The 14,922-nt window shown below is 60.7% G+C and overlaps 2 protein-coding genes across 34 annotated transcripts in view, besides 5 other annotated features; one reads left to right on the forward strand and one right to left on the reverse strand.

The window, feature by feature from the left end:
• CRB2 (crumbs cell polarity complex component 2) overlaps positions 1 to 9,333 on the forward strand; it is a 26,262-nt gene extending 16,929 nt beyond the window's left edge. For 5 of the 8 annotated variants that reach the window (XM_011518558.4, XM_011518557.4, NM_173689.7 and 2 more), the window contains 6 exons: positions 77 to 585; positions 1,184 to 1,349; positions 2,141 to 2,927; positions 3,586 to 3,702; positions 4,224 to 4,350; positions 5,845 to 7,760. In XM_011518558.4, coding sequence (XP_011516860.1) covers positions 77 to 585; positions 1,184 to 1,349; positions 2,141 to 2,927; positions 3,586 to 3,702; positions 4,224 to 4,350; positions 5,845 to 6,069 — 1,931 coding nt within the window. In that variant the 3' untranslated portion in view covers positions 6,070 to 7,760. Of the gene's footprint in view, positions 1 to 76; positions 586 to 1,183; positions 1,350 to 2,140; positions 2,928 to 3,585; positions 3,703 to 4,223; positions 4,351 to 5,844; positions 7,761 to 8,969 lie in introns of those variants that run through there. The other 3 variants (XM_011518556.4, XM_047423245.1, NR_104603.2) reach the window with 2 other exon arrangements.
• Positions 4,711 to 5,329: an enhancer, noted in NCBI's record as "H3K4me1 hESC enhancer chr9:126137983-126138601 (GRCh37/hg19 assembly coordinates)". NCBI's record gives its function as "activates a minimal SCP1, AML or CMV promoter by ChIP-STARR-seq in naive H9 embryonic stem cells {active_cell/tissue: H9 hESC(naive)}" and the evidence as "EXISTENCE:reporter gene assay evidence [ECO:0000049][PMID:30033119]".
• Positions 5,330 to 5,947: an enhancer, noted in NCBI's record as "H3K4me1 hESC enhancer chr9:126138602-126139219 (GRCh37/hg19 assembly coordinates)". NCBI's record gives its function as "activates a minimal SCP1, AML or CMV promoter by ChIP-STARR-seq in naive H9 embryonic stem cells {active_cell/tissue: H9 hESC(naive)}" and the evidence as "EXISTENCE:reporter gene assay evidence [ECO:0000049][PMID:30033119]".
• Positions 7,943 to 8,444: an enhancer, noted in NCBI's record as "H3K4me1 hESC enhancer chr9:126141215-126141716 (GRCh37/hg19 assembly coordinates)". NCBI's record gives its function as "activates a minimal SCP1, AML or CMV promoter by ChIP-STARR-seq in naive H9 embryonic stem cells {active_cell/tissue: H9 hESC(naive)}" and the evidence as "EXISTENCE:reporter gene assay evidence [ECO:0000049][PMID:30033119]".
• Positions 8,445 to 8,944: an enhancer, noted in NCBI's record as "H3K4me1 hESC enhancer chr9:126141717-126142216 (GRCh37/hg19 assembly coordinates)". NCBI's record gives its function as "activates a minimal SCP1, AML or CMV promoter by ChIP-STARR-seq in naive H9 embryonic stem cells {active_cell/tissue: H9 hESC(naive)}" and the evidence as "EXISTENCE:reporter gene assay evidence [ECO:0000049][PMID:30033119]".
• Positions 8,665 to 14,922, reverse strand: part of DENND1A (DENN domain containing 1A) — a 550,469-nt gene continuing 544,211 nt past the window's right edge. For 25 of the 26 annotated variants that reach the window (NM_001352965.2, XM_047423624.1, XM_047423622.1 and 22 more), the window contains 2 exons: positions 12,662 to 12,920; positions 8,665 to 11,632 (listed from right to left, as the gene is read on the reverse strand). In NM_001352965.2, coding sequence (NP_001339894.1) covers positions 10,439 to 11,632; positions 12,662 to 12,920 — 1,453 coding nt within the window. In that variant the 3' untranslated portion in view covers positions 8,665 to 10,438. Of the gene's footprint in view, positions 11,633 to 12,661; positions 12,921 to 14,922 lie in introns of those variants that run through there. The other variant, XR_007061334.1, reaches the window with a different exon arrangement.
• Positions 14,658 to 14,727: an enhancer, noted in NCBI's record as "active region_28941". NCBI's record gives its function as "activates an Ori minimal core promoter by ATAC-STARR-seq in GM12878 lymphoblastoid cells {active_cell/tissue: GM12878}" and the evidence as "EXISTENCE:reporter gene assay evidence [ECO:0000049][PMID:35858748]".

Genomic DNA, 14,922 nt, shown 5'->3' on the forward strand with positions numbered 1-14,922 from the left:
CAGGTGGGAAGGCAGCACCTGAGATCTGCCTCCCTCAGCCTGCAGGCCTCACACCTGGCACCTTCTCTCCCTGCAGAGATTCCTGCTGCCACCTTTGGCTTGGGAGGCGCCCCAAGCTCTGCCTCCTTTCTGCTCCAAGAGCTGCCAGGTCCCAACCTCACAGTGTCTTTCCTTCTCCGCACTCGGGAGTCCGCTGGCCTGTTGCTCCAGTTTGCCAATGACTCCGCAGCTGGCCTAACAGTATTCCTGAGTGAGGGTCGGATCCGGGCTGAGGTGCCGGGCAGTCCTGCTGTAGTGCTCCCTGGGCGCTGGGATGATGGGCTCCGTCACCTGGTGATGCTCAGCTTCGGGCCTGACCAGCTGCAGGACCTGGGGCAGCACGTGCACGTGGGTGGGAGGCTCCTTGCTGCCGACAGCCAGCCCTGGGGTGGGCCCTTCCGAGGCTGCCTCCAGGACCTGCGACTCGATGGCTGCCACCTCCCCTTCTTTCCTCTGCCACTGGATAACTCAAGCCAGCCCAGCGAGCTCGGCGGCAGGCAGTCCTGGAACCTCACTGCGGGCTGCGTCTCCGAGGACATGTGCAGTGTAAGTGTCTGGTGGCGGTGGTGGTGGTGGGGTGGGGAGTCCTTTTCCCAGGATCTGTCCTGTGTCACCGGGGCTTAGTGTGTCCTTTTGCTGATGAGGAAACTGAGGCTCAGGAGGTGAAGTGACCTGCCCAGGGTCCCACTACAGGAGGGTGGCAGGGCAGATTTACATCTGTCTCTTCAGCCCAGCTGCTCCTACCCTCTGGCGGTCCCCGTGTCTCCCCGAGCTAGTCCTGGTGTGAGAGAGACACCCTGACCGAGATAGAGAGCTGCCTGAGCCTTTCTGCAGGAGCTACTTGGGGAGCGGGACACGCTTTTGATCATGAACAGAATTCCACCAACCCTGGAGTTAGAACAGCTTGGGCATGAATTCTGGTTCCTCTCTTTACTGGCTGGGTGACTCAGGCAAGTGGCTTTGCATCACTGAGCCTCAGTTTTCTCATCTGTAAAATGGGGATCTTAGCGACTTCCTCTCCCCTCGTTTGTGAGGAGATACTGTGTCTGTAGTAGGTGCTCAGCGAAGAAGCACTGCAATGCCAGTTATGGTGGGTGATGCTCACTGCAGTCCTGAGCCAACCCCTGCCCTGCCTCTCCCACAGCCTGACCCCTGTTTCAATGGTGGGACTTGCCTCGTCACCTGGAATGACTTCCACTGTACCTGCCCTGCCAATTTCACGGGGCCTACGTGTGCCCAGCAGCTGTGGTGTCCCGGCCAGCCCTGTCTCCCACCTGCCACGTGTGAGGAGGTCCCTGATGGCTTTGTGTGTGAGTGTGTGTCCTGGGCAGCTCCCGTGCTGGGTGCTGGACACCTAAGCTGGTTAGATCCCATCTGCACTCTCAGGGCTTGTAGGATACTGGTGGACCAGGCATGCCAAGCCCTAGGGCAGTGTGGCGGGGCCACCGCATGTAGAGGGACAGAGTTTCTGGAGAAGGTGAGCCTGTACTGGGCTTCAGGGCCAGACTCTGAGAGCCACAGGGGGAAGGATATTTTATGGAGTGGCATAGCATGTGCCAAGTCCCTGAGGTCTGCAAGGACAGTGGAAGTGCAAGGGGGTGAGCAGGAATGGGGTGGGAAAGTTGGTAGGGGCTTTGAGGACACCCAGCTAGGCGGCTCTGACTTTATCCCAAGGACAGTGGGGAGCCTCTGGAGGGTTTTAAACAGGAGAGGGGCATGACCAGATCTGCATTTTACAAAGATGACTGGCTGCAGTGAAGGGCAAGCCTCGGCCATGAGGTGGGGCAGCTTCACGGAGAAGGGAAGGGGCCAGATTCTGCCAGGAGTTGCTGTTGCCTGGCTTGTGACCTGGAGGGTCGCCTAGGCATCACGCCCCACCCCCCAGCACTGGCCGGGAACTGCTCCTCCATGGGTAGGAAATACATTGGGAGTAGAAGTGAGGGTGGTGGGGGCGGCTGCAGTTTCCAGGATTAGATGATAGGTGGGTGCGTGTGCCCCACCCCAAGTAAGTGGCTGTCTGCCACTCGCTGGGGGAAGTGGGGAGGTGGCATTTCTGGAGAAGGCTCCGTGGGCTATTCCCTGAGGCTCCTTCTCTCCGCAGGTGTGGCGGAGGCCACGTTCCGCGAGGGTCCCCCCGCCGCGTTCAGCGGGCACAACGCGTCGTCAGGGCGCTTGCTCGGCGGCCTGTCGCTGGCCTTTCGCACGCGCGACTCCGAGGCCTGGCTGCTGCGTGCCGCGGCGGGCGCCCTGGAAGGCGTGTGGCTGGCGGTGCGCAATGGCTCGCTGGCGGGGGGCGTGCGCGGAGGCCATGGCCTGCCCGGCGCTGTGCTGCCCATACCGGGGCCGCGCGTGGCCGATGGTGCCTGGCACCGCGTGCGTCTGGCCATGGAGCGCCCGGCGGCCACCACCTCGCGCTGGCTGCTGTGGCTGGATGGTGCCGCCACCCCGGTGGCGCTGCGCGGCCTGGCCAGTGACCTGGGCTTCCTGCAGGGCCCGGGTGCTGTGCGCATCCTGCTGGCTGAGAACTTCACCGGCTGCTTGGGCCGCGTGGCGCTGGGCGGCCTGCCCCTGCCCTTGGCGCGGCCCCGGCCCGGCGCGGCCCCTGGCGCCCGAGAGCACTTCGCGTCTTGGCCTGGGACGCCGGCCCCGATCCTCGGCTGCCGCGGCGCGCCCGTGTGTGCGCCCTCGCCCTGTCTGCACGACGGTGCCTGCCGTGACCTCTTCGACGCCTTTGCCTGCGCCTGCGGCCCGGGGTGGGAAGGCCCGCGCTGCGAAGCCCACGTCGACCCCTGTCACTCCGCCCCCTGCGCCCGTGGCCGCTGTCACACGCACCCCGACGGCCGCTTCGAGTGCCGCTGCCCGCCTGGCTTCGGGGGCCCGCGCTGCAGGTGGGATGGCTGGGCAGGGGGGTGGGCTGCGAATGCCCCCTGGGGCTATGGTGGGGCAGAGAAGTCTGCCAGGTCTGTGGATGAGTCGCTTCCCTTCCCTGGTCCTCATGTCCTTATCTGTGACATGAGGAGGACAGTTTAATTTGATAAATTTCCTGATAAAATACAGATCAAAACACAACCAGTTAGCCTGGAATTTCAGATAAACAGCGCTGTGGTCTGGGGCTGGGAGCCGCCTGCCGCTTACACGGAGGTTCATCCCTATTGGTGGCTGGTTGGGGTGGAGGGAGGGGGTCAGGCTTTGGCGCTTCCCTTATTCATCTGGCAGTGGCTCTCCCGGGAGCCCAGCGTGTGGAAGGGGATCTGGCTGTGGCCTGACCCCTCCCTCTCCCCTCAAGGAATGTCCAGGCGTTGTGTTTAGGAGCTGCTTTTGTTCAGAGTCCTTACACTTTGTTGTCCTGAGTCCTCTGAGACTCTGGAAAGCGAGTGCAACCCTGTGTCCCTTCCCTCCCATCAGGGACCTCAATCCCATGCCCAATAGAGGAAGGCCCTGAGTTCCATACATGAGAACACAAGCTCAGGTGGCCCACGGTCACAGCGCTGGGGAGGGCAGGTCCCAGGTGTCCTGCACCCACTCCAGCCTCTGCTCTCTCCCCAGGTTGCCTGTCCCATCCAAGGAGTGCAGCCTGAATGTCACCTGCCTCGATGGCAGCCCATGTGAGGGTGGCTCTCCCGCTGCCAACTGCAGCTGCCTGGAGGGTCTTGCTGGCCAGAGGTGGGTCTGGGGGCCTGGGAACTGTGAGGAGGTCCAATGAATGTGGAGGGCTGTTCCTCCAGCCAGGGTGGGGCGGGGGTCCTCGCCCACCTTCTCACCCCTCCCTGGTATCACAGTCACCATTGTCACTTGAGTTTCCTTCCATGACTCGCAAGACCATCCTCTGTGATACAGACTGCTGCTGGGCAGTGGTTGCCTGGTGGCAGTTCTGGAAACCCAGCCTCAGCCCGCCTGTGGGAGACCATAAAAGTGCAGATTCTGGGCCCTGCAGACAGTGGCGTCAGCGTCTGGGGCACCTGCCTTCACACAGGCTCCCGTCACCCTAATGGGATGAGAGTCCTTCTCAGTGACGGCTGCTCAGGTGGTCACCTGGCAGGGCCCAGCTGGGCAGGAGCAGCGCATGGGGACAGTGGATGGATAAGCTCTGATGCTTGCTGAAGTGGGGATGGGCAGCAGAGCAGCTGGGAGCACAAGAGGCAGCCATGGGGGAAGCCGCTTTCTCAGCCCCCCTCCCTCTCCAGGTGTCAGGTCCCCACTCTCCCCTGTGAAGCCAACCCCTGCTTGAATGGGGGCACCTGCCGGGCAGCTGGAGGGGTGTCTGAATGTATCTGCAATGCCAGATTCTCCGGCCAGTTCTGTGAAGTGGCGGTGAGTGTTGTCAGGGGTGAGGGGCCGTGGACGTGGCCTGCTGGGCCCTTGGCGAGATGCTGCTGGGGAGAGAGCGCAGCACCATGGGGCTGTTCCTGGGCCACTCTGTCATGGGGTGGGGCAGTGAGAGGAGCCTCAGGTCCCTTCCACACCCCCCACACAAGAGGTATTTCCACTGCAGGGAGAGCTTTGGGGGCTGTCACCGTCTATTGACAAGAGCACAAAGCTCCTAGCTGGGTCAGCGGCTTCCTCAGAGTGCCCAGGGCAGTGGCAGTGAGGACAGATGGTCTCTGCCAATCCAACCAGGACTCAGGGCCATGTTGGTGTTCTGGGATTTAGGTTGGTGAATCCAGGAGACTCATCTCCAGGGGTTTCTGAGCCAGTGTCCTGAGTAGGAAGACACGGAGGGGCAGGGGGCCTGGGAGTCCGCACTGGAGCAGGCTCGGCCCGCTGTGCAGGCTGGCCCCAACCCCGGGTGGCTCAGCCCAGGAGGAGCCTGGACAGACGAAGGCAGCAGGCGCTGGAGCTGTGAACCTCCCCGCCACACCCCTTCCTGGGGCGGGGTGGGGGGAGTGGGTGCTGGCGAGGAGAGGCTTGGAAGGGAAGTCTGGGGAGCAGCCTTGATCTCTACAGGCTTCTGGCAGCCTGGGTCATAAACCACAAATCCCCTCCGCTTACGGGGAATGTTTCCTTTCAAGTTGAACTTTTACAGCCTCTGGCTTCCCTACCCAGCCACCTCCCCAGGGCAGGGGGAGGAAATGGCTTTACAGCTCCTCCCTCAAAATGTCCAACGGTGGAGGCTGGCAGGACCCTCTCAGGACCAGAGGAACTTTCCTGTCAAGTTTTAGGACCCAGGTCACAGTGGGCTGGGAAGCCTGGAGGTACAGAGGGAGGCTGGTGAGTCCCAGAGCCCATGCCTCTGGAATCCTCGCATCCTGGGACTACAGAGTCCCAGGCATGTAGAGGCTTTGATGGGGAATCCTGGGAGCCTGTGACTGGAGACACCAGGGAGGTTTGCTGGGCTCCCCGAAGCCTGGGCCGAGGCTCGCAGGGACAAGCTGTCATAACAGCCCCTCGGCCCCCCTGCCACCCTGCCCCCGCAGGTGGGCCCCAGTGGATTCTGACCTTGCTATTGTGGCAGGGGGCCGCTCAGCCTGCCCCTGCTCCTGCTCTGCCTCATGAGACCCTCGTAGGCTTCTGTGAAACCCATGCACCCTGCTTAGCTCCTGCCGGGTGTTCAATAAACGCCCATCTCTGTCCTTCTAGCCAGAACTCCTTTGTTGTATAGGCCTCCCCGAGCAGTGGCTGTGACAGGTGGTTTCCTGGCACTTGCCTGCATACCCCTGGGGCTGGGTCTTCACTGCTCCCAGGGCAGCCTGCTCCCAGCTCTGATTTTCTCTGAGTAGGTCCTTGTGCTGCGCTCTCTGCTCTCTGAGGGCCCCGGCGTCCTCCCCTTCTCTGCGGTCTTAGGCCTCGGTGTCGTGTCTCTTGCAGAAGGGCCTGCCCCTGCCGCTGCCATTCCCACTGCTGGAGGTGGCCGTACCTGCAGCCTGTGCCTGCCTCCTCCTCCTCCTCCTGGGCCTCCTTTCAGGGATCCTGGCAGCCCGAAAGCGCCGCCAGTCTGAGGGCACCTACAGCCCAAGCCAGCAGGAGGTGGCTGGGGCCCGGCTGGAGATGGACAGTGTCCTCAAGGTGCCACCGGAGGAGAGACTCATCTAGGCCAGCCTGGCTGCTGGCACCAGCACCTGGAGGTCCTGAATGGTTTCTACCTGGAGACCCAAGGAAGCTGCTTCCAGGGCTCGGGACATTGCTACGGAAGTGTCCCCTTGGCTGGCAGCCTCTGCCTCTGCCTCTGCCCCATCCTGGATGGAGGACGAGGGGAGCAACTCAGGGAAACAGAGGCCTAGAGAGGCTGCGGACTTCTCCATCCCACCCTCGGGGTTCCGCCTTGGCAGGTGTACGGCTGTGCGTGGGAGGGCACACGTGGGTTCACAGTGTGTTCAGGAGTGTGTGTATCTGGAGGAGTGTGTGTGTGAGTGTGTACCTGGGCCTGTGTTAGTCTGCAGATGCTAGTGTGAGTGTGTCCTGACATGGCTCCAGGGCGTGTCTGCCGTGTTTACTGTGTGTCTATGACTGTGATGGGTGTAGCTGATCCCAGGAGGTGGCGGCTGCGCCATGGGGTCAACCATTACAGTCCTAGGGCAGGGGCGGCCCAAGGCTGCATGTTCTCCAGGAGGCCAGGCCGGGGTTGCCCAGGCACCTCCTTCCCCGCCTCTGGGGGCTGCTCCTGCTGTGGAGGCAGCTGGGAAGTCAGGGAAGGCCACTAGCAGAGGCTGAGTGGGCTTCTGGCTCCTAGAACAAATGTCCCTTCAGGCAGGTCTGTCTGCCAGAAGCCAGAGCCAGTCATGCGAGGGAACCACAGACCCACCCGCCCCCTCAGCCGGAGCAGCCCGAGGGAGCAGAGGAGGGGCTGCCTGGAGCTTCCCACCCTGCTGTGGTCATTTGTCAAAGGGGGAAGGCACCCACTGCCTACCTCACAGGGCTGTTGTGAGGATCAGAGAGGACGACAGTGGGGAAAGAATCTGGAAGTCTTCAACTGCCGTCTGATGGGAAGGACCGTCTGGGTGTCCTTCTGGGATGAGGATGACAGAGCAACCCTTCTCCTGCCCTGAACCCCCCCAGCTCACCTGACCACCTCTGGTTCTCCAGCTCCGGTCCTTCCTAGCAGCCTGGTGAGCTCACTCCTTCCCCTGATGACTGGCTGCCTCTACACAGACTCGGCGAGAGGACTTGAAGGAAGCCCTCTGGGTTGTCTGCTGAGTACAGGGGCTCAGTGAACACTGGCGCTGCCTCTGAGTCGGGGCTGGGCCTGCAGAGGCCGACTCAGAGGAGACTCTGCTGCTTGCTCCCAGCCCCTTCCCCGGCGATGCCCATCACACTGTGACCTCCCATCCCTGAAGGGCACCTGCCTGAGGGCCTGGCCTCCTTCCAGCTTCATGGACCTGGAGATGTGCCCTTTCATCCTTCCTGCTTCCCAGGCCAGTAGATCCGTTTACACTTTTGGGTCGACAGTCAGCTTTTCCTTTTGGTTTTGGCGGGTCCCAGAGGCATGGGTGTCCAGTCCAATGTGGGGAGCCACGTGACAACGTGGGGGACTGGGACATGGGACTGGGAAGTCAGCAGACGCTGGGATAGAGAGGGCCCTGAACACCAGGCTCAGGGGCTTGCTTGGTCCTTATCCTGTAGGAGGTGGGACCACCTTTCCCTGAACTTTCTCTACAACCCTTGGGAGCGTGGGGAGGAGGCGGCTGGTTCCAGGGTCAGTTTACTAAGTTAGAGATTTGGAAAACCTGTGTCAGCTGTAACTCCTAGGATATTTTATGTGGAACCTAACATGCAGATGAAAGCTGGCTGTCCCCTGTCCTCTTCCTGGCTCCTGTGGGTTCGGGTGCCTGTTTTTTGTTTTTTTTTTTTTTTTTTTTTTTTTTTGAGATGGAGTCTAGTTCTGTCACCCAGGCTGGAGTGCAGTGGCGAGATCTCGGCTCACTGCAACCTCCGCCTCCCAGGTTCAAGCAATTCCCTGCCTCAGCCTCTGGAGTAGCTGGGATTACAGGTGCCTGCTTTTAGTAGAGACGGGGCTTCACCATCTTGGCCAGGCTGGTCTTGAACTCCTGACCGACCTCGTGATCCACCTGCCCCGGCCTCCCAAAATGTTGGGATTATAGGTGTGGGATGACAGGTGTGAGCCACCGCGCCCGGCCCGCGTGCCTGTCGTTTTCAGCCTGTCAGTCAGTCAGTCCTGCAAGTGGGGGCATGGTCAGATGATGGGCGAGTCGGAGGGGGTGGGTGGTGTGACTGGGCATGTTCCACGCTCACTATGGGGTGGTCGATTGGTCTGCATTCCCCCGCCCGCCTCCCCGCAAACACCAGCGTCCAACAGAGGCAGAGTCCCAGGCTCTGTTCTTGCTAATGAGAGACCTGTGGGGGCGACTTGCCAGGTGTCCCCTTGAACTCTTTCCTGGCTCCTGGGTGCCCTCAACGTCGTTGGAGGCCTGCAGTCTGCCCCATGGCCCCCGCAGGGCTGAGCAGGCCTGTTGCCAGCCCAACCCCGTGCCTGGTCTGTGAGGGGCAGAGCATGAGCTGGCTTAGAGCCCTGAGTGGGCACCGGCTTGGGAGGGTGCGGGGAGTTGACTCCTTCCCTAACTGCTCTGCGCCTGGCCCCTGCCTCTACAGGAGCAGGTGGTGAGGATGGCTCCGGGCCCGTGTGGGGCCTCCCCGACCCAAAAGCTTCAAGGACACGGGGATGCCAGCCTCTTCCCCAAGATGATTTTATTGAATGCACACAAAGTTCATCCTTGGGTTTGCAAAAAGTCCCACAAGTGAAGAGGCAGCAGTGCTCATGTGAACATGGAGCGCTCACCCCAGCCCCTCAGCACAGCCAGGGGGCCTTGGGGTACACACCCTCCTTCCCTGGGGCCGCCAGCACCTCCTCTGCCCTATCCCGGATGGGGCCTGGGGGTCTGCCCAGGGTGCGAAACTGGAATCTATGCTGAAACACCTAAGTGCCCAGGAGGTGCCCCCATGGCCCAGGAGTGACACGGCTCCCCCAGCAGCCAGAGCCCATTCCTGAGCCAGACAGGTCACGGTTGACCCAGGAAGAGCCATGTGCCAGGATGGCCGCCAAGCCTCACTGAGCATGTGCAGCAGTGGCAGCCTCTCAGACATAGAGGGGGCTCCCTGGGTGACATCTCCAGAGACCCCCTTGTCCCCCAGACACCCCTGGGTAGACTGTGTCTGACCCTTCACAAATAGGAAATGAGAGCTCGGGTCGAAATGCTCACAATTTCCTGCGTGTCTCAGATGGTTGTTTTCTTAAATGGTCGGGCCATACTTTAACTTGGTTTATGGAAATGAATCCATTTCAAGATTCATCAAATCAATAAGGTAAAAAGGAAAAAGAAAGATAATAAACATTCAATCTAACTTTGGTGACGTTGGCCTCAGGAATTTCTGTGCTGGCCTGGAGCTCTGGGCAGGTGGGGAGGGACTGGCTTCTAGCCCTCCTCCTGCTTCCCCGAGGCAGAGACCAAGTTTGTCCTTTCTACCTGGCCCTGGAGAAGGGGCTCAGGGCCACTGCCTCGTTCCAACCCAGGAAGGCCAGCTGCCTTCCACATCAGTCTGAGGCATTCAGCTTGACCTTTTTGGGTTGAAATCTGGGTTGCAGCTTCTCAGCTTTGCCCACAAAGCTCCAGATGACAAGAGGCTGAGCCCCAGCTTTGACAGTGAGGGGAGTACCTGGAGGTATCAGCGTGCCAGAGCTGGATGAGGGCTGGGGGCTCCTCCCAAAATACTCAGATGGGGGTTTCCATTTTCCTTCTATAAATCAAAGTTGCTGGTGCTCGCAGCCCCCGTGCAGGGTGGCTGGGGCTGTGTATCACAAGGCAGCCCAAGACCCCCTGGTCCCCAGATCCTCCCAGGTCAGAATCAACTGAAGTTTTGGGGTGAAGACACAGGAAAGAACGTGTGTGTATATTGCTAGAAACAGTCTGGAAGTGCCCCACCAGGTAAATCCTCCAGCCCAGGAGGAGTCCTAACTTCAACCCCAAGCTACCTGTGTCTCGTGCAGATGAGCTCAAACTGGAGGGTAACCCTGTCACCTGTGTCCGAGGAGGTGGGCGTGCAGGGCCTGGCTGTGGAGGAGACAGGAGAGCTGGGCTCGGAGGGGAGGCCTTCGGAGCCTCTTGGGACACTTCCGGGGGAAGGTGGGTAGGACTCGGTCTGGAGCAATATCATTGGCCCAGCTGACCTCTTTAGTGCAAAACCCAATCAAGGGTGCCGAGGAGAGGCAACCGCGGGGTGGGATGGGCACTCAGGAACTGGGTTGATTCCCAGGCTGGAACTGGTGCCATTCCCCAGGGCCAGACATCAGAGATGGGCAGTGTGGAGGGGAGGAGGGGGCAGCAGAGAGGGGTCCCATCCCTTCCCACCAGCAGAACCTGGGCAGAGAGAGAGTGGCGGGGGAGCCTCGGAACCGCAGCAGTGGACGGACCCTCGGGCCTCGGTGCATCCCCCACCCTCAGGGCCCGGCTCACTCGAAGGTCTCCCACTGCTTCCTGAGCTGCTCCACCGAGTCTGGGGCCGGGGCCAGGGCCGGACTCGGGCTCACGTCTTGCTTGGTTTTCTGTAACAAATCCTCAAAGGGGTCTCTGGCCTGTTGAGGAGCAGAGGGCTGCAGTGTTGGCTCCAGGCCTTGAGGGGGCCTGGGAGGCAGAAGCGGGGGGTCTCCAGGCCTCAGGGCCAGCCCCTGCTTGGTCTCAGCAGCCCTGGCACTTGAGCGGGCCAGGGGCAACGTTCGGATCCTCGACGGGGCAACTGCTGGGGGACCCAGCGGCTGTAGGGGGCTCGTGTGGGTGCCCATGGGCATCTGGCCAAAGAGGTTGGGCATGGAGAGGGCGGAGAGGTTGGGCTGAGACCTGTGAGGGGCACAGAAGCCAGCACTGGACAGCAGGAGGCCGGACGCAAAAGCCGGCCCCAGGGAAGCTGGAGGGGCCCCGAAAGGCCCGGCTGGTGTGGAGACCAGGGGCAGGGTGGGTGGGGCTGCTGGCATGGATGGGACAAAGGGGTTGAGTGGTGGCTGTGGGAATGGGGTGGGTGTCCCTGCAGGGGGGAAGCTGAATTGGGGGGTGAATGGGGTGGCTACATTCGGGGTGGCGGGGCGTGACGGGAGGGTGCTGCCTGACCAGGCTGTGCTGAGCGGGTCCAGGAGGGCGAGCAGGGCGTCACTGCTCGTGCCTGCAGCCCCGGGGCCAGGGCTGAGCGGCTGGAGCAGTTCAGTGGGGCCTTGGGGGACAACACCAGGCAGGAGCCCTGGACTCAGGGCAGCTCGCCTGTCCCGATCCGTCTGCAGCCGCTCTGAGACGTCACCAAGTGCGGCGCCGGCAGCCTGGAGCTTGGCCGGGCGGGGAATGGGCGGTGGAGGCACGATGCCCAGCTCTGGGGTCTTCCTGCCTTGGGGCCGGGGGATGGTGATGCTGCCCAGAGTAGGGGTGGGCACCTCCTCCTTGTCACTGGGGTTCAGGATGCTGTCCCGGTTCTGGGGCCTTCGAGGCAGGGCCAGGGAGTTTCCGAGCAGGGCTGAGGGCTTCTCAGGGGAGGCAGCTGGGGGCTTGCTGGGGATGGCCATGTCGTCCTGGCCCAGGCTCCAGAGCTTGTTGTACGGGTGGGTAAGCTTCAAGGCCACTGTCACCCCGCGGCTCCTCTCACTCCCGCCCAGATCCAGCCTCTGTTGGGAGGGAAGGAGGGCGGCAGTGACCACGGGCTGAGTTGGGACATATGTGTGCCCATTCCCACACCACTTCTGTGTGCTGAATGTGTGCTGGGCCTAGTTGTGTGGCTGATCAGCTCCTCGGACTTGGAACAGCTGAGGGCTCCCCCAGGTTACCAGCAGAGGACCCACGTGTGCTGGGACTCCAAGCCTGTGCTCCGGGAACTCAAGACAAAGCTCTCGTCCCTTTATGCCAGTGGCGGTTGCCAAGGAGTTTTAGGAAAGTGACTCCAGCTACCGGCTGGCCCTTTTTACTTTTTAGATCGCAGGCACCCGCAATCACCTGTAAGCCCGGGGGCGCGAGTGAGACTCAGGGCCTGGTAGGAGGCACCTTGGCTGGGGAGGAAGGAGGAGGCCAAGTTGGAGTCCTGGCTCTGCCACTTGCAAGCCACACGGCCCGGGTGCCAGTCCCTTTCTCCTGGCCCAGGTCCTCGTTCCCAGCAGGGAACACTCATGAATGACTGGAGCTCTGTGAACCCCACGGTGTGACCCAGTGATGCAAAGTCAGAAGACCCCACTTGCAAGTGAGGAAACTGAGGCACCGAGCGGGGATGTGATGGATTAGACGTCACAGTGGGAATTACACACTGATTTGCATTCATAATGCAGAGCCAAGAACTTGCATCCACAGGCTCTGCCAAGGAGCCCTGGCAGGGATGGACGCAATCCCGGTTCCAGCAGGGGCTGCAGCCCTGCCTGGGGGTGCGAGGAGAGTGGCTGGCAGCACCCGCCCCCCCGTCTGATGCACACACAGAGTGGGGCAAGTTTCCATCGGGCTCTAGCATCTTCTCCTACCGTCACTGTTAGGGTGGTGTGGGCCCCGGCACCCTGGGAGGTGTTTACAGTCACACTGACCCTGAGCATTGGCTGAGGGTCTTGGAAAGTCACTGTTTCTCCCTTAGTCTCTTCCACTGTCACATGGGGATCCCACCTCGTGTGCGGACAGTGCCGGCCCCCGGCCGATACCCTCCCTTGCCCATGCCATACCTGATAGTCAAAGGTCCCTGGCTGCTCCCTCAGGTCTTTGGGGGCACGAAGGTCCTCTAAGCTCTTGGCCTGGCCCAGTGGCTGCAGTGCGGCCTCCATGTCCAGGTTGCTGAAGACGTCTTCCAGAAGGTCGATGCTGGCAGCCCGGTCAGGGGGAGCTGGGACAGGGCCTGTGGACTTCCGCACTTGCTGCTCTGGACTCTCTGCCTCGTCGCCTTCCGCGCTGTCTGACTCCCTGAGTGTCCGATACGGCTGCGGCCTGTCGGGGACAGAGCAGGCTGCACTCTCCCACCCAGGCCTTCAGGGGAGGAGCAAGCGGACTCCAGCCCAAGCACATTGAGGGCTTGAGGGGTGCACGCAGGGGCCTGCGGGACAGGAGAGTGTCCCGGGGTCTCCGTGAGGGCAGGAGTCTGGGAGGCTGCGAGGGTGCAAGCTGGGCATGCCGATGGGCCTGGGGCTGTGAACCAGGGCAACTCGCTTTGGCTCTCACTTGCACTCAGGGGACCCATTTAGTGCCCCCCAAACTACAGGTCCTTTCATAAAACTGGCTACTGGGCTTGTGAGCCATTCAGACAAGGTGTGAGGAACAGACAGGACTGGAAGGGGGCTCACAGGCCAGCAGTCATGCTCCTCTTGCTCCCGCCCTGCTCTGCTGTTTGTTTGGTGGCCTAGGCACAGCCACAGTCAGGTTCTGTGAACAGCCCATGGGGAACTGGGCTGGGGAAGCTCTCCAGGGGAGCTGTCTGGGCCTAAGCTTGCCCTGCTAACCTTGGTTCCACCTCTGGTCATGCTATTTCTTGCTGTGGGACCTTTGGCAGGTCACTTAACTCTCTGAGCCTCAGGTGCTCAGGTGGTGGTGGTGGTTACATGAGCAAATGCGGTGCCCGGCACACAGCAGACACGCACGGGTTGGTTACAGCATCCATCGCCCACCAGTGAGCACGGCTGTCACACAGGCTCTTCTGCTAGCAGCTTTCTGTACTTTTACACATTCAAAACCTTGCAGTCATTGGCTGGGCACGGTGGCTCACGCCTGTAATCCCAGCACTTTGGGAGGCCGAGGCGGGCGGATCACTTGAGTTCAGGAGTTCGAGACCAGCCTGACCAACATGGTGAAACCCTGTCTCTATTAAAAACACAAAAATTTGCGGGGTGTGGTGGTGCGTGCCTGTAGTCTCAGCTACTCGGGTGGCTGAGGCATGGGAATTGCTTGAACCTGGGAGGTGGAGGTTGCAGTGAGCCAAGATCACAACACTGCACTCCAGCCTAGGCGACAGAGCGAGACCCTGTCTCAAAACAAAAAAGCAAAAAACAAAACAAAACAAAAAAACAAACAAAAAACCCCACACCACTACTTTGCAGCTGATCCAAGTATAGTTAACAAAGGGTTCCACTTGCCTTCCCTTCCCATGGACCTGAGTCCCAGGGCACCACTGGGTAGATGGAGAGGCAGCGCCTGGGTCAACCCTTACCTCTAGTGGAGCCCCAGTGGGAAGTGCATCTAGCCTTTTTTATATTTTTATTTTTCAGACGGAGTTTCACTCTTGTCTCCCAGGCTGGAGTGCAATGGCGCAGTCTCGGCTCACTGCAACCTCTGCCTCCCAGGTTCAAGCAATTCTCTTGCCTTAGCCTCCTGAGTAGCTGGAATTACAGGCTCCTGCCTTTTGCCTGGCTAATTTTTTGTATTTTTAGTAGAGACGGGGTTTCACTATGTTGGCCAGGCTGGTCTCGAACTCCTGACCTCGTGATCTGCCCGCCTCAGCCTCCCAAAGTGCTGAGATTACAGGTGTGAGCCATTGCGCCTGGCCACATCTCACCTCTTCTAACCCCAAGTCTGGGGCTGGTGGTGGCCCTACGTCAGGCGGAGATGGTGCCCGTGGCACTGGTAAAGTGGGGGAAGGGCACCACCTGGCGGTCAAGGGTAGGATCACAGTGAAGGCACCAGGGTGGGGGACATGGGAGGGCTCATCAAACAGTCCCAGTGATGGGCAGGGACTCCATCATGTACTCTCTCGCTGAAGCAATGCAAGCAGGCCAGGAAGTCGGACTTACACCCCCACCTTATGGATGAGGAATGAAGCTCAGAGATGTTAAATAACTCACCTATGTCACACAGCACCCGCAAGAGGTGGAAATGGAAGCCAAGCTTGAGAGGCTTCAAACGTCCCTCACTCACCCTGACCAAGGAATTAGAGACCCTTTAATAAAGATGAGCACAATGAAAGGGTTAAAGTCAGTCAGTGTGCTTCTGGAACTTCAGG

The sequence above is a fragment of the Homo sapiens genome, chromosome 9, assembly GCF_000001405.40.
Source record: "Homo sapiens chromosome 9, GRCh38.p14 Primary Assembly".
NCBI classification, from domain to species: domain Eukaryota; kingdom Metazoa; phylum Chordata; class Mammalia; order Primates; family Hominidae; genus Homo; species Homo sapiens.